This window comes from Homo sapiens, chromosome 17 (assembly GCF_000001405.40).
Source record: "Homo sapiens chromosome 17, GRCh38.p14 Primary Assembly".
Taxonomy (NCBI): domain Eukaryota; kingdom Metazoa; phylum Chordata; class Mammalia; order Primates; family Hominidae; genus Homo; species Homo sapiens.
The window spans coordinates 39355389-39377399 of record NC_000017.11 but is presented as its reverse complement, the minus strand read 5'-3'; the positions used below and the strand labels follow the sequence as shown (position 1 = coordinate 39377399).

The 22011-nt window shown below is 43.8% G+C and overlaps 1 protein-coding gene across 6 annotated transcripts in view, besides 1 other annotated feature; it reads left to right on the top strand.

Annotated features, from left to right (window-relative positions):
- Positions 1-22011, top strand: part of FBXL20 (F-box and leucine rich repeat protein 20) — a 149894-nt gene that overhangs the window by 25157 nt on the left and 102726 nt on the right. The window contains exon 1 of one of the 6 annotated variants that reach the window (XM_047436951.1): positions 15857-19627. The exons of the other annotated variants lie outside the window; for them this stretch is intronic. The gene's annotated coding sequence lies outside the window, so the exon portion shown is untranslated. Of the gene's footprint in view, positions 1-15856; positions 19628-22011 lie in introns of those variants that run through there. 6 annotated transcript variants of the gene reach the window in all.
- Positions 17990-18284: an enhancer, noted in NCBI's record as "tiled region #12086; HepG2 Activating non-DNase unmatched - State 8:EnhW". NCBI's record gives its function as "activates a minimal TATA promoter and a strong SV40 promoter by Sharpr-MPRA in HepG2 cells {active_cell/tissue: HepG2}" and the evidence as "EXISTENCE:reporter gene assay evidence [ECO:0000049][PMID:27701403]".

Sequence of the window (22011 nt, the reverse complement as noted above, 5' to 3'; positions counted from 1 at the left end):
CCCCCGAGCATTTGGGGATCAGAGTTTTTAAGGACAGCTTGGTGGGTGGGGGAAAGTCAGTGAGCCAGGAGTGCTGATTGGTCAGGGATGAAATCATAGGGAGTCGAAGCTGTCCTCTTGCACTGAGTCAGTTCCTGGGTGGGGGCTCCAAGATCAGATGAGCCAGTTAATCGATCTGGGTGGTGCCAGCTGATCCATCAAGTGCAGGGTCTGCAAAATATCTCAAGCACTGATCTTAGGAGCAGTTTAGGGAGGGTCAGAATCTTGTAGCCTCCAGCTTCATGACTCCTAAACCATAATTTCTAATCTTGTGGCTAATGTTAGTACTACAGAGGCAATCTAGTCCCCAGGCAAGAAGGAGGTCTGCTTTGGGAAAGGGCTGTTACGGTCTTTGTTTTAAACTATAAACTCAGTTTATCCTAAAGTTAGGTCAGCCCAGGAATGAACAAGGGCAGCTTGGAGGTTAGAAGCAAGGTGGAGTCGGTTAAGTTAGATCTCTTTCACTGTCTCAGTCATAATTTTGCAAAGGTGGTTTCAATGCCCGGCTCACCTTCCTATTTTTGTAGAGACAGGGTATCACTATGTTGCACAGGCTGGTCTCAAGCAATCCTCCTGCCTTGATCTCCCAAAGTGCTAGGATTACATGCATGAGCCACTGCACCTGGGTTAAAATCTCTGTTCCATTAGCTTAGTGGTCAGCTAATGACTGTACAAAAATTTCTTAATACCTAGAACCGCAAATTCTCCTAGTCTTTGCCAGAGGCATTTGTGTAGGGGCACACTTTGAACACACGGCCAGTCAGTTTACAACTCTGGCTTAGCCTTCAACTTCCTACTTCTGCAAATTCTCAAGATCAACCAGAGGTGAGAACTCTGGGCCTTCTCAGGTCTTTCCTGAGTATGTGCACAATGCTGGGCATGCATGTGGCCTTCTGACTCTCATGAATATATCAGAGCTTACCAATGCCCTTATGGACATACATTTCCCTAGCTTTTTTCCCTGGCTTCTCTTTTAAGCTTTTTGGTTAGTTTATTATCTGTCCCTCAGTCAGCAGTGACTAAAACATTTGCCTATAAATATTTTTGACAAATGCAGGGTACCTACTTTAGCAGTAGGCCAGTTCTGAGACAATATAAAGACAAACGTTTTGAGCTGGTTTTCCAGGGAGCACCAGACAGGTTAAAACAAATCATTACAGTTCTTTGGGAATCAGATCTGTTCCATTCCCTCAGTTACCAGCAATGTCAGCTGTTATTTTATTTTATTTTATTTTATTTTTTGAGATGGAGTCTCACACTGTCGCCCAGGCTGGAGTGCAGTGGTGCAATCACGGCTCATTGCAACCTCCGCCTCCTGGGTTCAAGCTCTTCTTCTGCCTCAGCCTCCCAAGTAGCCAGGATTACAGGTGCCCGCCACCATGCCCAGCTAATTTTTTGTATTTTTAGTAGAGACGGGGTTTCACTAAGTTGGTCAGGCTGGTCTCAAACTCCTGACCTCGTGATCTGCCCGCCTTGGCCTCCCAAAGTGCTGGGATTACAGGCTTGAGCCACCACGCCCAGCCACGGATGTTATTTTTAAGGTTACTGCCAACAGGCACATTTGGGGTAAATTAAAATGATACAAACCTCTAGTCTTACTGAGATTCAGCCGTTTTTCTTGAATGAAAACTCCTTGGGTTATTGCAAGACTTGGTTAATTTTTAAAGTAAAAAAATTTGATTTTTCAAAATTGATACGTAATATTTATGTATTTGTGGGGTACATATAAGTATTATAGGCATAAAATGTGTAATGATCAAGTCAGGGTACTTGGGTATCCATCACCTTAAGTATTTATCATTTCTATGTGTTGGGAACATTTCAAGTCTTCTAGCTACTTAGAAATACACAGTACATCCTTGCCAACTATAGTCATCCTGTTCTGCTATGGAACAATAGAACTTGTATCTTCTATCTAACTGTAAATATTTGATTTTTGCCAGTTTTGTTGTTATTGTTGCTTTTATGGAGGGGTGAAATTTTTTTCGTTTGTTTCTTATTGTGGCATTTTCACTGATGTCATCTCCGAGTACATGTTTGATTGGAGGTTTCTGAAGAGCTCCAGTACCTTATTTTGACCTCCAGTTATACAAAAGTAAATGTATTTCTCAGTTCATAGTTTTTGTTTTGCAGAAGATGGCCGCAACAACTACTTGGGCCATGTCTTCTCCTCGTCACTTTTTTTATATGCTGCTTATTTTTAACCACTAAAGTCACTGATGATGATACACTAATTCTGTGAGTATTGTCTTTGTCCTATATTATTGAAAAGTAGCAGCTGGGTGCGGTGGCTCACGCCTGTAATCTCAGCACTTTGGGAGGCCGAGGCAGGTGGATCACGAGGTCAAGAGATTGAGACCATCCTGGCCAACATGGTGAAACCTTGTCTCTACTAAAAATACGAAAATTAGCTGGGTGTGGTGGCACGCGCCTGTAGTCCCGGCTGCTCGGGAGGCTGAGGCAGGAGAATTGCTTGAACCCAGGAGGCGGAGGTTGCAGTGAGCCGAGATCACGCTACTACACCCAGCCTGGCAAGAGAGAGAGACTCCATCTCAGGGAAAAAAAAGAAAAGAAAAGAAAAGTAGCTTGAGCTGTCCGCTTAAATTCTGTCCATTTCATTGGAATTGCTTTGGCACAGTTGTCTCCTCAGTGTAAATGGAATTATTTTCAGTTTTAGGTTTAGAAGATGTATAATTAGTTTTTAGGAATCCTAGACAATACATACAAAAAACAGAAACAGTGATGACCCAACATATTATAGCAAGGAAAAATAAAATCTTAGTTATAAAATTAGTTATAATCTAGCAATTTTTTTTTTTTGAGATGGAGTCTCGCTCTATTGCCTTGGCTGGAGTGCACTGGTGCATTCTTGGCTCACTGCAACCTCCGCCTCCCAGGTTCAAGCAGTTCTCATGCCTCAGCCTCCCAGGTAGCTGGGATTACATTACAGGTACCCGCCATCAGGCCTGATTAATTTTTTTTTTTTGTATTTTTAGTAGAGACGGGGTTTCACTATGTTGGCCAGGCTGGTTTCAAACTCCCAACCTCAAGCGATCCAACCACCTTGGCCTCCCAAAGTGCTAGGATTACAGGCGTGAGCCATTCCGACTGGTCTTTTTTTTTTCTTTTTTTCTTTGAGACGTAGTTTTGCTTTGTCGCCCAGGCTAGTGTGCAGTGCCGTGATCTTGGCTCACTGCAACTTCCACCTCCCAGGTTCAAGCGATTCTCCTGCCTTAGCCTCCTGAGTAGCTGGGACTACAGGCGCCCACCACCACCACGCCTGGCTAATTTTTGTATTTTTAGTAGAGGTGGGGTCTAGCCATGTTGGCCAGGCTTGTCTTGAACTCCTGACTTCAAATGATCCACCTTCCTCGGCCTCCCAAAGTGCTGGGAATACAGGCGTGGACCACCGTGTCCGGCCATAATCTAGCAATACTGATAATGTGGTGATGTCTGTGACTTTATCTTACCTGAAATAACAAAGAAAGCAAAACAAATCCCATATAATCATCTTCACTTTTAGTTGAAAGAAACATTTAGCCCTTCAATCAGTTAATCCAACAAATACTTGTTTTGTGGCTTGTCATGTGTAAGGCACTATGTTTAATCTACTTTCCGGAAACTACAGCCTAGTAGGCTAGACAAAATTGAACACAGTAAGACAAAATTGAAGCTTTGTAACAGAACTATAAGCAAAGTGCTATGGATTATAGGGAAATAAAAGAACATGCCTACCTAGAAAATATTCGGATTTCTGAAGAGGTCTCAAGAAAAGCATTCCTCATCCTTGCAGAATTTCTAGACAAATGGAGAAAACAGGAGTGGCAGCTGGAGACCAAAATTATTAAAAGAAACCAGGTTGGAAGATCTGGTTTTCAGTATGTGAGCCAAATTGTATCTGTTAACTGAAGTCTATCAGATAGACATCCCCAGCCCGCAGTTCTAAGCAGTCCTATACCAAATCAAGCTTTTCAACGCAGGAGAGAGCCTGGCCCTGAAGAAATGGAGAACACTTGTTCAGAAAGGGTAGAAACACAGAACTCTGAGCCAAGTTGCACTTCATTCTTCCATGATTTGCCAGTCAAATAAGATTAAAAGATAAGTTATACTTAATCTCTTTAAAGAAGTACAGAGGAGCCAGGAGTGTGTTTAGAGAAAGTTTTTCCTTGTGTAAACCAGGAGTGGGGAAGAGGCATTCCTCTCTACAAAGGGGGTCAGAAAAGGTTTCATGGAGGTTATGCCTTGAGCTGAGCATTAAAAATGGGTAGGTTTCTATATAGACGATGTGAAGCCACAGAGATGAGACAGTATAAGCTATGTTTGAAAAACAAGTAGTCTGATTAAAAAAAAAAAGAAAAGAAAAATAAGTAGTCTAATTTAATCAAGCATTTGAGTTCTCGATTTCAGTTTTGTTATCCTTTGGGAGTTATTAAACAGGCTGGGCGCAGTGGCTCACGCCTGTAATCCTAGCACTTTGGGAGGCTGAGGCGGGTGGATCACCTGAGGTCAGGAGTTTGTGACCAGCCTGACCAACCTGGTGAAACCCCATCTCTACTAAATACAAAAAATTAGCCAGGTGTGGTAGCACACACCTGTAGTGCCAGCTAGTGCCAGCTACTTGGGAGGCTGAGGCAGGAGAATTGCTCAAACCTGGGAGGTGGAGGTTGCAGTGAGCCGAGATTGCACCATTGCACTACAGCCTGGGCAACAAGAGCGAAACTCCATCTCAAAAAAAAAAAAAAAATTATCAAACAGACATTTAGCCCTTAAACAGTCATTGGCTCATTTTCAAGGTTTTTTGCCTTAAAAGATTACCAATTTTTTTTTTTTTTTTTTTTTTTTTTGGTCAGAGTCTCGCTCTGTTGCCAGGCTGGAGTGCAGTGGCGCAATCTCGGCTCGCTGCAACCTCCGCCTCCCAGGTTCAAGCGATTCTCCTGCCTCAGCCTCCCAAGTAGCTGGGACTACAGGCGCACGTCACCATGCCCAGCTAATTTCTGTATTTTAAGTAGAGACGGGGTTTCACCTTGTTGGCCAGGATGGTCTCCATCTCTTGACCTTGTGATCCACCTGCCTCAGCCTCCCAAAGTGCTGGGATTACAGGAGTGAGCCACCGTGCCTGGCCTTTTTTTTGGTTTTAAGACAGCAAAGTAGAATTATTCCCAGGCTGTTTTGAAAATCACCTAAAAACAGTGATATAAACTCTATTTGAAATTATGAGGCATATGTAATCCTTGTATGGGAAAAAGGAAAAGAGAAAGAAATAGTAAATGACTTAGCAGAAGAGAGGTGGGTCAAACCCAAGTGCTTCAGGAGACTACTGGCAAGAGGCAGGTCATGATTTGTCTGTGAAGCTCCTGAAAAGTTCAGAACCTGAAGGTACCACGTACAACAGAAGGCAGGGATAAGATGGAGGCTGACAACAGGGTCACTTTCCAGAAGTCTATAATGGGAAGATAGATTCCCTCTCAGTACTTTCTCCTTTAAACCTGAGTAGTTGGACAGCTACCGTCAGCCTTACAGAAGTTAGGAGATTTTAGCTGGGCGAGGTGGCGCGTGCCTTTAATCCCAGCTACTTGGGAGGCTAAGGCATGAGAATCACTTGAACCCAGGAGGCGGAGGTTGTGGTGAGCCGAGATCATGCCACTGCACTCCAGCCTGGGCAACAGAGCAAAACTTCGTCTCAAAAAAAAAAAAAAGAAAAAAGTAAACAACAAAAAGAAGTTAGGAGATTTGTTCTTTGGAGGAATTGAATATGAGATGTTCAGGACCTAGGACCCCAATCCCAGAGGAGGATGGGGTTAGCTAAGTTCCAGACAGAAAATGGAAGTCAGGAGCCAATTAAGTGAGAAGTCTATACAATTAGTAGTGTAGTTCCCCATCTCCTTCCCTCATCTAGCTGTAGAATGCCTGCAGCCAAGTAAAAGCTTAGAGGATCTTCCTCTGCAGTAAGAGAATGCCCTCCATCCAATAAAAAAGAATGGCCCCAGAGAAAAGATAGCTGAATTTTAAAAAAATATATTTATGCATTAACAGGCTCATGCCTATAAGTTTTGATTTTTTAAAAAAAGTATATAAGCATATTTTTGTTATTTTTTTTATGGCTGATGGCAGATTACCTCATAAAGTCATGCATGACAAAACCCTTCTTTTTTCTTTGAGGTGGAGTTTCGCCCTCATTGCCCAGGCTGGATCACGGCTTACCACAACCTCCGCCTCCCAGGTTCAAGTGATTCTCCTGCCTCAGCCTCCTTAGTAGCTCGGATTACAGGCATGTGCCACCACGCCCGGCTAATTTTGTATTTTAAGTAGAGATGGGGTTTCTCCATGGTGGTCAGGCTGGTCTCGAACTCCCAAACTCAGGTGATCCACCCGCCTCAGCCTCCAAAAGTGCTGGGATTATAGGCGTGAGCCAACACCCTCGGTCTGACAAAACTCTTTATACAGCTGTTCTATAAGACAGGTTCTAGGAAATCCACAAAAGCCTGAGATTAGTGAAATGGGTGAAAAGAGGTAGAAGGGGCTAATATAAGGTTGCCAATGTTTTCTTTTCTTTTTTTTTTTTTTTTGAGACGGAGTCTCGCTCTGTCGCCCAGGCTGGAGTGCAGTGGCGCGATCTCGGCTCACTGCAAGCTCCGCCTCCCAGGTTCACGCCATTCTCCTGCCTCAGCCTCCCGAGTAGCTGGGACTACAGGCGCCCGCTACCACGCCCGGCTAATTTTTTGTATTTTTTTTTTTTTTAGTAGAGACGGGGTTTCACCGTGTTAGCCAGGATGGTCTCGATCTCCTGACCTTGTGATCCGCCCGCCTCGGCCTCCCAAAGTGCTGGGATTACAGGCGTGAGCCACCGCGCCCGGCCTTCTTTTTTTTTTTGAGATGGTGTCTCACTCTGTCCACTCAGGCTGGAATGTAGTGGCTTGATCTTGGCTCACTGCAAACTCCGCCTCCCGGGTTCAAGCGATGCTTCTGCCTCAACCCCTGAGTAGCTGGGAATACAGGTGCCTGCCACCGTATCTGGCTGGTTTTTGTATTTTTGGTAGAGACTGGGTTTTGCCATGTTGGCCAGGCTGGTCTCGAACTCCTGATCTCAGATGATCCGCCCGCCCCGGCCTCCCAAAGTGCTAGGATTACAGGCGTGAGGCATAGCGCTTGGTCCTCTTTTTTTTTTTTTTAAACCATCCTCTTTGTTAAGGACACATGCAAACATTATTTTTAAGATGTATTAATTCCATTAATATTTTATTTATTTTTTTGAGGCTGAGTTTTGCTATGTTGTCCAGGCTAGAGGGCACTGGAATGTTCACGGCTCACTGAAGCCTCACTCCCAGGCTCAACTCCTGGGCTCAAATGATCCTCCTGCCTTGGCCTCCCAAACTGCTGGGACTACAGGTGTGAGCCACCATGCCTGCCATATTTTGAAGTATTATGTGGGTTGGATGCAGTGGCTCGTGTTTGTAATCCCAGCACTTTTGGAGGAGGGTAGGAGGAAAGCTGGAGACCAGTAGTTTGAGACTAATCTGGGCAACATGGCGAGAGCCTGTCTCTACAGAAAAATTTAAAAAGTAGTGGGGTGTGGACCACATGCCTGTGGTCCCAGCTACTGGGGAGGCTGAGGTGCGAGGATTGCTTGAGCCCAGCCTGCAGTGAGAAATGATCATACCACTACAGCCTGGGCAACAGAGCAAGATTCTGTCTCTAAGAAAATAAACACATAGCTGGGCACGGTGGCTCACATCTGTAATCCCAGCACTTTGGGAGGCCAAGCCGGGTGGATCATGAGGTCAGGAGTTTGAGACCAGCCTGGCCAGCATGGTGAAACCCCGTCTCTTCTAAAAATACTAAAAATTAGCTGGGTATGGTGGCTGGCAGATCACGAGGTCAGGAGTTCGAGACCAGCCTGACCAACATGGTGAAACCCTGTCTGCTAAAAATACAAATATTACCTGGGCCTGGTAGTGTGTGCCTGTAATCCCAGCTGCTCAGGAGGCTGAGGCAGGAGCATTGCTTGAACCCAGGAGGTGGAGTTTGCAATGAGCCAAGATCACACCACTGCACTCCAGCCTCAGCGACAGAGACTCTGTCTCAAAAAAAAAAAAAAAAAAAAAAAGCATTGAATTCTAATTCTGTTGTTTGAGGCATTATTTATTCTAATGAGCTTTGTAATCTCCACAAGGTTGGTAAATATACTGTACTTTATGATTTTTATCCAGTACTTCTAAAACTATTGCATAGTACTTTTGGTTAAACATGGAGGTTTGATCCAATATACCTATTTCCTTTCTTCAAATAGCATTAAAATGATAATAAGGGAACAAAAGAAACATGAGATCACAGGGACAAAAGTGAGTGAAAGAAGAAACCACAATACATGAGAAACTTCAGTTATTTTTTAGAAGATTAAAAAAATGGGTTCGGGCGGGGTGGCTCATGCCTGTAATCCGAGCACTTTGGGAGGCCGAAGTGGGCAGATCACGAGGTGAGGAGATCGAGACCATCCTGGCTAACATGGTGAAACCCCGTCTTTACTAAAAATACAAAAAATTAGCCCGGTGTGGTGGCCTGCACCTGTAGTCCCAGCTACTCGGGAGGCTGAGGCAGGAGAATAGCTTGAACCCGGGAGGCAGAGGTTGCAGTGAGGTAAGATTGCACCACTGCACTCTAGCCTGGGCAACAGAGCGAGACACCATCTCAATAAAACAAAAAACAAACAAAAAAGTTAGAAGGGTGTTAAGTGATTTAGCTAAGCGGAGGAAACTACACCCTTTGTTGTTTTTAGAGGGGCTTGTCAGGGAGAAGCAAGTATACTGAACAGCAACAAAAAGTATACTCAACAAAACTCAGGACTTGGTAGGAAAGAGACTTAGGACTTGGTAGGAAAAGGTCTCTTAAGAAACAGATGAGGCTTGAGATTAAAATCAGGTAGTGGTGAAATGTCTTTCTTTTTCATTCTTAAAAATTTTTAAGTTTTTTTAGAGACAAGGTCTTGCTTTGTTGCCCAGGCTGGAGTGCAGTGGTGTGATCATAGTTCACTGCAGCCTTGAGCTCCTGGGCTCAAGTGATCCTCCTGCCTTAGCCTCCTGAGTAGCTAGGACTACAGGAGTGCACCACTGTGCCTGTGTAATTTTATTTTATTGTTTTGTAGAGATAAGTTCTCGCTGTGTTGCCCAGGCTGGTCTTGAACTCCTGGCCTCAAGTGATTCTCCTACCTTGGCCTCCCAAAGTGTTGAGATTATAGGAGTAAGCCACTGTGTTTGGCCTAGGATACTATTCTTAAAAATCTTTCACAGGCGGGGTGTGGTGACTCACACCTGTAATCCCAGCACTTTGAGAGGCTGAGTCCAGCGGATCACTGGAGGCCAGGAGTTTGAGATCAGCCTGGCCAACATAGTGAAACCCCTTCTCTACCAAAAGTACAAAAAAAAGAAAAAAAAAATTAGCTGGGTGTGGTGGGGCGTGCCTGTAGTTCCAGCTACTCCGGAGCCTGAGGCAGGAGAATCTCTTGAACCTGGGAGGCTGAAGTTGCAGTGAGCTGAGATTGGGCCAGTGCACTCCAGCCTTCCAGCCAGGCTGATGGAGCCAGACTCTCAAAATATATATATATATAAATAATCTTTCAATAAATAGAAACTTATTGAAAATTTTAAAATATGATAATCCTCTGTCCCCCAAAAAGAATTAGTAAAAATTTGGAAGTAAAGTCAAAGCAATTTGGATATAGGAGAAAAATTATTTAACAAATTAAAGATTCACTGGGTATGGTGGCTCATGCCTGTAATCCTAGCACTTTGAGGGGCTGAGGTGGGTAGATCACTTGAGGCCAGGAGTTTGAGATGAGCCTGGCCAACATGGTGAAACCCTGTCTCTACCAAAAATATAAAAATTAGCTGGGTGTGGTGGTGGGCGCCTGTAATCCCAGCTACTTGGGAGGCTGAGGCAGGAGAATCACTTGAATCTGGGAGTTGGAGGTTGCAGTGAGCCGAGATTGCGCCACTGCACTCCAGCCTAGGCAACAGAGTGAGACTCTATCTCCAAAAAAAAAAAAAAGAAAAGAAAAAGATAAACCAGGAGGTCCAATGTTTGACTAATAGGAATTCTACAATGAGAGGACAGAGAAACCAGAAAAACTTCCAAAATATTTACCAGATTGAAAAATATAAACTTCTAGATTGAAAGGACTGATAGGCTGGGCGCGGTGGCTTATGCCTACAATCCCAGCACTTTTGGAGGCTGAGGCAGGCAGATCTTGAGGTCAGGAGATCGAGACCATCCTGGCTAACACGCCGAAACCCCGTCTCTACTAAAAAATACAAAAAATTAGCTGGGCGTGGTGGTGGGTGCCTGTAGTCCCAGCTACTTGGGAGGCTGAGGCAGCAGAATAGCGTGAACCCAGGGGCAGAGCTTGCAGTGAGTCGAGATTGTGCCACTGCACTCCAGCCTGGCTGACAGAGCGAGGCTCCATCTCAGGAAAAAAAAAAAAAAAAGGACTGATAGAATAATAACCTCAGACCAAGAGGCTTGATGATGAAATTTTGGTAAACTGAGGATAAAGAGAATATACTAAAAGCTTCCAAAAGTAACTAGAGGTTACATTCAAAGGACCCCAAATTAGAATGGCATTATATATCACAGCAGAAACTTACGAGGTCAGAAATGCATCAAGCAGTGTCTTCAGATATCTTCAGTGGAAAGGATTTTCATCTTATAATTTTATTGCAAGCCAAATTATCAATCAGATGTGAGTCTAAGGTAAATACATATTTTAGACATGCAAGAGACTTAAAAACCTGAGTTCCCATGAGCTGTTTTTTCATAAATTACTGTGAGATGTTCCCTTAAAAAGCAAGTGAGACAATATGGGGTACTGGAAACAATGCAATAAAAGAGAAGAGCTACTGGAGAGCCCAAGATGACAGTTGTGTAGCCAGTCTAGGGAATTTCTTAGAGTGTAGGAAAAGAAAGTGTTCTGGGAATGTTTAGCACCAGAGAAAAACAGTATCTGATGCATTTGAGCATATGGAAAATATTCAGATGTGACAGATTTTGGAGCAGTTGAGGGAAAAGAGTCTAGAAAGTAGAAAAAAATATGATAGCCTATATGTAGGGTGAGAAAGAGTCCATAGTCCTATTGTCTGCTTGTCCTGACACTGAGTAGTATCTAAATACTAAATATTCACACGGACGCTTAATTTAAACAAAGATTGTGAGAAAATTACACTGAATACAGCCAGAAGCAGTGGCATGTACTGTAATTTCAGCTACCTTAGAGACTGAGGCTGGAGGATTGCTTGAGGGTGTACTATGATCGCTCCTGTGAATAGCCAGTCTACTTCAGACATAGCGAGACCCCATCTCTAAAAAAAAAAAAATTTTTTTAAATTCCGTTGTTGTCTTTTAGTATCCACCTCTTAGTTCTTTCCTGTGTTACAGATGAAGTGAAACTAAGGGAAATGGAGGAAGGAGGAGGAGAGGTGGACATGAAATAATATTGTCACTTTGAATTTTAGTTTCTTTCCTTTCACTTCATAACTTCAAAAGAAGTTTTCAGTAGGGCATGGAACATTTCCAGGATTAAGCAGCACCAGTTCAACATGAGATTCAGTCATATTCAGTTCTTCAGAGTTCATGGAATCCTCCAGGTCCTAGACTGTTGCTGAGGATGGTTAATGTCAAATAAATTAAAAATACTGAAAAGAAAAAAATAAAAGTGTGTAGATGCTCTATTTTTGGACTGAGAGCAGTGAATTGGTAGTGGACATAGGTTTGGGTTAAGTAAATGAAACAGAAGTCAGCATAAAAGAAAGCTCAGAATATTGAGTCAGATGTTAGAAGGTGTCCAAAGCAGAAAGTTTGACCTATTAAGTAATGTGTCTGTTAGCTAAATGTATTCCTTCCGTAATGTTTTTATCTAGTGATTTCTTTCTTAGGAGAAGTTTAGTCATGAGACGGCAATGCACTGGCAGTAGTTAGCTTCTAAAAAGCAATTTTATTTCTGCTAGGGACAAGATGTTGGGCGGAGGAATTATAAACTTACTTTGTTTTAGGTTTATCTGGCCAAACAAAAATGTTTTTCCTTTTAGATTCGGGCAAGAAAACTGGCCAACTGGAAAAAACATCTGGTGTTGGTTGAATGAAGGAATGGCATAATCAGTAAAAATTACTTATAGGAAAAATACACATTTAAAAAATCTTCTGCAGCTTCAACTCTGGATTTTTTTTAATGAAAATTGATTCTTAATCTCTCATTAACATTTTCCTACCACCAAAAGATTTGACCTGTATTGGGCTACCTTTGTATGTTAGAAATTTTGCTTAATCTATGAAATTTCTTTTTTTAAATTTCTTAATCTATGAAATTTAGATCGTGAGTCATAAACTTCTTCAATAGAGAACCTGTTTTTGTAGTATTTGCTATTTAACAACCACCCTGTAACTTTGTGGCTTAAAACAATTCATTATGCAGCCTGACGGTCCTGCCATCTCCCCAATAGGTCGCTCATAAGACTGCAGTCATTTGGTGACTTGAGTGGGGCTTACGTGTCTAAGATGGCCTCACTTATACTCTGAGACCTTTTGGTGTTGCTGTCAGCCAGTTCTTGTTCTCCACATGATCTCTCATCATTCAGGAGTTTAGTGTGGACTTCCTTAGATGGCTGCAGGAGTCTGTCAAGAGGGTAAAGCTTTATTGTCTCTTAAGTCCTAGCCTGGGAAATCACAGTGTTATTCCTGCCACATTCTTTTTTTCTTTTTCTTTTTTGAGACAGGGTCTTGTTCTGTCTCCCAGGCTGGAGTGCAGTGGCACGACCTTGGCTCACTGTAACCTCTGCCTTCCCTGGCTCAAGCAATCCTCCCGCCTCAGCCTCCTGAGTAGATGAGACTGCAGGTGTGCACCACCACGCCCAGATAATTTTTGTTGTTGTTTTTGAGAGAAGGTATTGCCATGTTGCCCAGGTCTCAAAATCCTGGCCTCAAGCAATCCACTCTCCTTGGCCTCCCAGATTGTTGGGATTACAGGCGTGAGCCACTGCACCCAGCCCCACCACATTCTTTTGGTCAAATCAAGTCACTATGTCAACCTAGATTCAAGGGGTGGGAAAATAAACCCCATCTTTTGAAGGGAGAAGCAACAAAATTGCATTGCAAAGGGGCATTGCCACAAAGATATGATTCATTGGGACCCAGGCGCAGTGGCTCACATCTTGTAATCCCAGCACTTTGGGAGACTGAGGTGGGCGGATCACTTGAGGCCAGGAGTTCGAGACCAGCCTGGCCAACATGGTGAAACCCCGTCTGTACTAAAAATACAAAAACTAGTCGAGCGTGGTGGCACATACCTGTAATCTCAGCTACTCGGGAGGCTGAGGCACGAAAATTGCTTGAACCCAGGAGGTGGAAGTTGCAGCGAGCTGAGATCGCGTCACTGCATTCCAGCCTGGGCGACCGAGTGGGACTTTGTCTTCAAAAAAAAAAAAAAAAAAAAAAAGATATGATTCATTGGGTTTCATTACTTACTTTTTATTGTTTTTTTTTTTGTTTTTTGTTTTTTTTTTTTTTTTGAGATAAAGTCTTGCTCTGTCACCCAGGCTGGAGTACAGTGGCCAGATCACAGCTCATTGCAGCCTTCAACTTCCGGGCTTAAGCAATCCTCTCACCTCTTCCTCCCAAGTAGCTGGGACTATTGACATGTGTCACCATGCCCAGCTAGTTTTTAAAATTTTTTCTAGAGGAGGGGCCTCATCATGTTGCCCAGGCTGGTCTGGAATTCCTGGCAATCCTCCCACCTACCTTGGCCTCCCAAAGTACTGGGATTATAGGTGTAAGCCACCTTGTTTGGCCCATTATTTATCTGTTTGTATAGACATGTGGCTTAATTTATAAACACTCAGATATTTGTAAAGAATGCAAAAAGAGGCTAGGTGTGGTGGCTCACACCTGTAATCTTAGCACTTTGGGAGGCTGAAGCGGGAGGATCACTTGAGACTAGGAGTTTTGAGACCAGCCTGGGCAACATAGGGAGACCCTGTCTCTAAAACAAATTTAAAAATAAAAATTTGGCCAAGCGCGGTGGCTCACACCCATAATCCCAGCACTTTGGGAGGCCCAGGCTGGTGGATCACCTGAGGTTGGGAGTTCAAGACCAGCCTGACCAACATGGAGAAACCCTGTCTCTACTAAAAATACAAAAAAAATTAGCTGGGTGTGGTGGCACATGCCTGTAATCCCAGCCTCCCTAGTAGCTCGGGAGGGTGAGGCAGGAGAATCACTTGAACCCAGGAGGCGGAGGTTGTGATGAGCTGAGATCGCGTGCCATTGCACTCCAGCCTGGGCGACAAGAGTGAAACTGTCTCAAATAAATAAATGAATAAATAAATAAAATGTAGGAAAGGGATGTAAAGGACATTTAATAATGGTTGGTTGTAATAAGTGTTTCATTAAGAAAAGTTTACTAGGCCAGGCGCAGTGGCTCACACCTGTAATCCCAGCACTTTGGGAGGCCGAGGCAGGCAGATCACTTGAGGTCAGGAGCATGACCAGTCTGGCCAACAAGGTGATAACTCCATTTCTACTAAAAATACAAAAAAACTAGCTGGGTGTGGTGGCGCATGCCTGTAATCCCAGCTGTTTGGGAGGCTGAGGCAGGAGAATCACTTGAACCCGAGATGAAGGTTGCAGTGAGCCGAGGTCGCACTACTGCACTCCAGCCTGGTTGACAGAGCGAGACTCTGTCTCAGAAAAAAAAAAAAAGCCGGGTGTGGTGGCTCACGCCTGTAATCCCAGCACTTTGGGAGGCCGAGGCAGGTGGATCACCTGAGGTCGGGAGTTCGAGACCAGCCTGACCAACATGGAGAAAACCTCTCTCTACTAAAAATAGAAAATTAGCTGGGTGTGGTGGCACATGCCTGTAATCCCAGCTACCCGGGAGGCTGAGGCAGGAGATGGGGTCTTGCCATCTTACCCAGGCTGGTCTCGAACTCCTGGGCTTAGGCAGTCCTCGTACCTCAGCCTTCTAAAGTGCTGGGATTACAGGTATGAGCCACTGTGCCTGGCCAAGAAAGCATTTTTCTTTTTTTTTTGAGACGGAGTCTCGCTCTGTTGCCCAGGCTGCAATGCAGTGGGGCAGTCTTGGCTCACTGCAAGCTCTGCCTCCCGGGTTCACGCCATTCTCCTGCCTCAGCCTCCTGAGTAGCTGGGACTGCAGGCGCCCGCCACCATTCCTGGCTAATTTTTTGTGTGTGTATTTTTAGTAGAGACGAGGTTTCACCGTGTTAGCCAGGATGGTCTCGATCTCCTGACCTCGTGATCTGCCCGCCTTGGCCTCCCAAAGTGCTGGGATTACAGGTATCAGCCACCATGCCTGGCCAGGGCATTTTTTTTTTTTTTTTAGTGCTCCAAAATCCAAAAGCATTTTTAAAACTTTACTCTTTTTAAATATTAGAGATGGGGTCTTGCTATCTTGCCCAGGCTGGTCTTGAACTCCGGGGCTCGGGCAGTCCTCATACCTCAGCCTTGTAAAGTGCTGGGATTTACAGGTATGAGCCACTGTGCCTGGCCAAGAAAGCATTTTTTTTTGAGACGGAGTCTCGCTCTGTCGCTAAGGCTGGAGTGCAGTGGTGCGATCTCGGCTCACTGCAAACTCCGCCTCCCAGGTTCAAGCAGTTCTCCTGCCTCAGCCTCCCGAGTAGCTGGGACTACAGGCGCGTGCCACCACACCCAGCTAATTTTTTGTATTTTTAGTAGAGACAGGGTTTCACAGTGTTAGCCAGGATGGTCTCGATCTCCTGACTTAATGATCTACCTGCCTCAGCCTCCCAAAGTGCTGGGATTACAGGCATAAGCCACCCTGCCTGACCAAAAACATTTCTTCTTGTTTTGAGAAGCTTCTGGGCTCCAGAGACAGAAGATGAGGAAGTTTTATTTTCCAATCCAGCAAATTCTAGGCTCTCAATATTCTCAGTTCTTTGCAAACTGTGCAGTTCTTTCTTCTGCATATCTCTCATGTTACTTTATCATAGTTAGTTTATCAAACTATTCAGCTAACAGCGAAATGGCCTCCCATAGACTTCACAAACTCCATTCACAGCATCAACTTGGCAGCTCAATCTGCTTGGCTTCTCTGATTGATGGCTCTTCTCTGATCCTCCAACTCCTTCTTCTAGACCTTCACCTCTCTAGATCTTCCCATGGTTTCATTATGGTCTAATTCTTGTAACTCCTGTTCCCTAACACTCAGGTGACTTTGCTGTCCTGACTGAACCTTGCTTAATACAGAAATTTATACTCAGAAATGCAATGCAATAATAAAAACCTAGAATGTGGCACTGACTTTAGGATCAGGTAGCAGGCAAAGGCTGAACGGGTGTCAAGAAGCCTGTTGGTGGAGGCTGGAACAATGGGGGAAATTGCTACTAGAATCTGGGAAAAATATGACCCATGTCATGTATTAATACATGTAGACTAACTGGCAAAAATATGACCATTGGTAACAACTGGTATATCTAAGGAGATTTCTAGGCATTGTTTTGGGGATGTGAATTGGCCTCTGAACAAGGAGTTCCTGGGGTGGTATATGGGAAGCTGTTATCTGAATAGCTACTGTCTCTGATGCTTAGCCAACAGTGGTTTGAGGCCACTGTTGGTCAGCAAGGCCAGCGTTCGGGAAGAAAGCCAGACATAGAGCAGAGGACAAAGTGGATTCTGACAGACATTTCTGAATCTGTCTCTGAGTGTGAAAAGATCATGAAAGTCATCAAAGTGTATTCATCATGCCTCACTCTGCTTTCCAAAATCTTGTTCCATTTTTGTCCCGCTCCTAACCCAAACCATGTAGAGAAAAGATTTCTGGGAAACACTGTTACTACCGTAACCAAATTGACTCAGTAAAATCTGTCACAGAACCACATCAAATATTGAAAATTTAAAATTGACAACAGTGTGAAATTTGTTTTTAAATCATTTTTATTATAAAATATGCATAAGATGTACCACGTAAAGCAATTTCAAGTGTACAGTTCAGTGACATTAAGTACATTCACATTGTTATGAAACCTGTCACCACCATCCACATGTAGAACTTTTTTCATCTTCCCAAACTGAAACTTCTCTAACCATTAAACAGTAACTCCCCATTCCCTCTCCCCTTTTAGCCCCTGCCAACCACCACTATCCTTTCTCTTATGAATTTCACTACTGTGGGTACCCTTTGTAAGTGGTACTTTTGTGACTGGTTTATTCCACTTAGCATAATGTCTTCAGGGTTCATCCATGTGTCAGAATTTTTTCATTTTTAATACTAAATAATATGTAATATATGTTTTTATGTAAATTTTATATAATCATAAAACAACATAATTTTAATATTTTATGTTTATACATTTAATACTTTAATGTTTTATCTGAATAATTTAATTCTGTATGTAATAATTGCTTTTTAATACTAAATATTCCATTTTATGTAAAAAGCACATTTTGTTTATTCATTCATCTGTTGGACACCTGAGTGACTTCTGCCTTTTGGCTGTTGTGAACCTGCTTTCAGTTATTTCAGATATGTACCAAAATAGGAATTGAAGAAATAGGAATAAGAATAGGAATTGCCGGATCATATGAAAATTCTGTTTAATTTTTTAGGGAACTGCCATACCGTTTTCTGTAGCAGCCACACCATTTTCCATTCCCATGAGCAATGCAGCAATGTCTCTTAAGGTTTCCAATTTCTCCACATTCTCACCAACACTTGTTACTTTCTGGGTTTTTTTTTTTTCCAAGATGGAGTCTCACTCTTGTTGCCCAGGCCGGAGTGCAGTTGCGTGATCTTGGCTCACTGCAACCTCCGCCTCCCGGGTTCAAGCAGTTCTCCTGCTTCAGCCTCCGGTGTGCTACCACGCCTGGCTAATTTTTGTATTTTTAGTAGAGACAGGGTTTCACCATGTTGGCCAGGCTGGTCTTGAACTCCTGACATCATGATCTGCCCGCCTTGGCCTCCCAAAGTGCTGGGATTGCAGGCCCACCTCTGTTGTTTGTTTTTGAGACAGGATCTTGCTGTGTCACCCACGCTCAGGCTGGAGTGAAGTTGCATAATCCTGGCTCACTGCAACTTCCACCTCCTGGACTCAAGCCATTTTCCTGCCTCAGTTTCCCAAGTAGCTGGGACTACAGGTACAAGTGCGTGCCGCCACGCTAATTTTTTATATTTTTTTTGTAGATATGGGGTTGGCCAGGCTGGTTTCAAACTCCTGAGCTCAGGCGATCAGCCCGCCTCAGCAGCCTCCCAAAGTGGTGTGGTGGGATTATAGGCGTGAGCCACTGCGCCTTGCCAGATTTTTTGTTTTAGAAAATAGCCTTCCTAATGATTGTGAAGTGGTATCTTGTGGTTTTGATTTGCATTTTTCTAATGATTAGTGATGTTTAGCATCTTTTCATGTGCTTATCGGTCCCTTGTATATTTTCTTTGGTGAAACGTCTGAATATTCAAGCCTTTTGCCCATTTTTTAGTTGGATTGTTTTTTGTTTGTTTTTCAGTTTGTAGGATTTCTTTATATACTCTGGGTGTTAACTCCTGAGATAGATATTTGCAAATATTTTCTCCTAATGTGTAGGTTGTCTTTTCATTCTGTTGATAGTGTTGTTATTGTTTCTACTGAGAGGTGTTTTTTTTGTTTGTTTTTTTGTTTTTTTGTTTTTTTTTGAGACAGAGTCTCACTCTGTTGCCCAGGCTGGAGTGCAGTGGTTTGATCTCAGCTCACTGCAACCCCCACTTCCAGGGTTCTAGTGATTCTCCTGCCTTAGCCTCTGAGTAGGTGGGATTACAGGCGTACGCCACCACGCCCGGATAATCTTTGTATTTTTAGAAGAGACAGGGTTTCGCCATGTTGGCCAGGCTGGTCTCAAACTCCTAACTTCAAGTGATCCACCCACCTCAGCCTCCCAAAGCGCTAGGATTACAGGCATGAGCCACTGCTCCTGGCCTTATATGCCATCTTGAGAAGGCTAAGGGATGCCCGAATAGCTAGTAAAACATTATTTCTGGGTGTGTCTGTGAGGGTGTTTGTGGAAGAGGTTAGTATTTAAATCAGTAGACTGAGTAAAGAAAGATCCGCCCTCACCAGTGTGGGCCAGCATCATCCAATCAGCTGAGGGCCTGAATAAAACAAAAAGGTGGAGGAAGGGAGAATACTGCCTCTCCTTGAGCTGAGACATTCATTTTCTCTTTTCCTTGGACATCAGAGCTCCTGTTCTGGCCTTTGGACGCTGGTAATACTGCCTCACCTCCACTTCTGGTTCTTAGTTAGGCCTTTGGACTCTGACTGGATTACATTATAAGCTTTCTGTGAGACAGTTCTTATAATAAATCTCTTCATATGCATATGTATGAGAAGAGTTTATATATATGTAATTGTTTCTGTTTCTCTGGAAAACCTGAACTAATACTTTGTTCAAAAGTTGAGGCAAAATAAAAACGTTTCCAGATAAGCAAATACTGAGAGAATTTGTTAGCAGGCTTGCCTTACTAAAGGAAGTACTTCAAGCTGAAATGAAACGCTATGGTACCAGATGGTAACTTGAAGAAAAAGAAGAGCAGAAGTTAATTTCAGAGGTAAATATGAACGACAATAAGTAAATGTTTCTTTTATTATCTTGACTGAATTAAAGGCATTTGCCAGCTGGGCATGGTGACTCACCTGTAGTCGCAACACGTTGGGAGGCTGAGGCAGCTTCGCTTGAGCCCCAGAAGTTGGAGGTTGCAGTGAGCTATGTTTGTGCCACCGCACTCTAGCCTGGGTGACATAGTAAGACACTGTCTCAAGAAATAAAGGGGGTTTCGCGTAAGATGATAATTATAAAACTGTTTAAGATACCAGAAGGCAATATAAAAGGAACAGAAGAACAAAAGATATGAGACAGAGAAAACATACAGAATGAGAGGCATGCCTAACAGTGACAGTGAATTGTTGACATAAAGATATATGTATAGATTAATGGAACAGTATTGAGAGTCTAGAAATAATGCCAACATTTATGGTCAAGTGATATTTGATTAAGGTACTAAAGCAATTCAACTGGGCAAAAAAAGTCTTTTTTTTTTTTTTTTTTGAGACAGAGTTTTGCTCTTGTTGCCTAGGCTGGAGTGCAGTGTGGCACGAACTTGGCTCACTTCAACCTCCTCCTCCCGGGTTCAAGTGATTCTCCTGCCTCAGCCTCCCAAGTAGCTGGGATTACAGACATGCAGCACCACGCCCGGCTAATTTTGTATTTTTAGTAGAGACGAGGTTTCTCCATGTTGGTCAGGCTGGTCTCGAACTCCCAACCTCGGTGATCCACCCGCCTTGGCCTCCCAAAGTGCTGGGATTACAGGCATGAGCCATTGGACCCAGCCCCATTTGCTTTAAAGACTATTTCAAATGGGGCTGGGTACGATAGCTCATGCCTGTAATCCCAGCACTTTGGGAGGTCAAAGTGGGAGGAGCTCTTGAGTTTAGGAGTTTAAGACTAGCCTGGGCAACATAGTGAGACCTTGTCTCTACTGCAAAATTAAAAAAAAAAAAATTAGCCAGGTGTGGTGGCACGCACCCGTAGTTCCAGCTTCTCAGGAGGCAGAGGTGGTAGAATTGCTTGAGCCTGGGAGGTCAAGGCTGCAGTGAGAGGTGATTGCACCACTGCACTCCACCCTGGGTGACAGAGTGATACCCTGTCTCAAAACAAACACAAATGTAGGCCGAGCGCAGGGGCTCATGCCTATAATCCTAGCCGCCTGGGAGGCCAAGGCAGACAGATTGCTTGAGTCCAGGAGTTCAAGACTATCCTAGGCAACATGGCGAAATCCCGTCTCTATAAAATATAGAAAAAATAGCTGAGCGTGGTGATATGTACCTGTAGTCCCAGCCACTTGGGGGGCTGAGATGGGATGATCACTTGAGCCCAAGAAGTTGAGGCTGCAGTGAGCCATGATTGTGCCACTGTACTCCAGCCTCAGTGACAGAGTGAAACCCTGTCTCAAAACAAAACAGATGGTGGTGAAACAATTGTATATCTGCATGCAGACAGATGAAGTTGTGCTCTCACCTCATACCACATATGATAATTAACTCAAAATGGATCTTAGACTTAAGTGTATAAGCTAAAACTATAAAACTTTTTTTTTTTTTTTTTTTTTTGAGATGGAGTCTCGCTCTGTCGCCTAGGCTGGAGTGCCGTGGCACAATCTCAGCTCACTGCAACCTCTGCCTCCTGGGTTCAGGTGATTCTTCTGCCTCAGCCTCCCAAGTAGCAGGGGATTACAGGTGGATGCCACCACGCCTGGCTACTTTTTGTATTTTTAGTAGAGACAGGGTTTCACCATGTTGGCCAGGCTGGTCTCGAACTCCTGACCTCATGATCCACCCACCTTGGCTTCCCAAAGTGCTGGGATTACAGGTGTGAGCCACCCCTCCTGCCCAAAACTTTTAAAACATAGGAGAAAATTTTTATGAAATTGGATTAGGCAAAGGAGTTCTTTTTTTTTTTTTTTTTTTTTGAGACGAAGTCTCGATTTTGTCCCTCAGGCTGGAGTGCAATGGCACAATCTCAGCTCACTGCAACCTCTGCCTCCTGGGTTCAATCGATTCTCCTGCCTCAGCCTCCCAAGTAGCTGGAATTACAGGCACCTGCCACCACGCGCAGCTAATTTTTGTATTTTTAGTAGAGACGGGGTTTCACCATGTGGCCAGGCTGGTCTTGAACTCCTGACCTCAGGTGATCCGCCCGCCTTGGCCTCCCAAAGTGCTGGGATTACAGGCGTGAGCCACCGCGCCCGGCCCAGGAGTTCTTGTATAAGACATCAAAAGCATGATACATCAAGAAAAAAATTGCAGTTTATCAAAATTAAAAACAGTAGTGTGTCAGAAGACACCATTAAGAAGTAGAAAACACAGTCTGGGTGACATGGGAGAAAGTATTTGCAAATCAAATAATCAAATCATTTATATAAAGGGCTATTTAAAA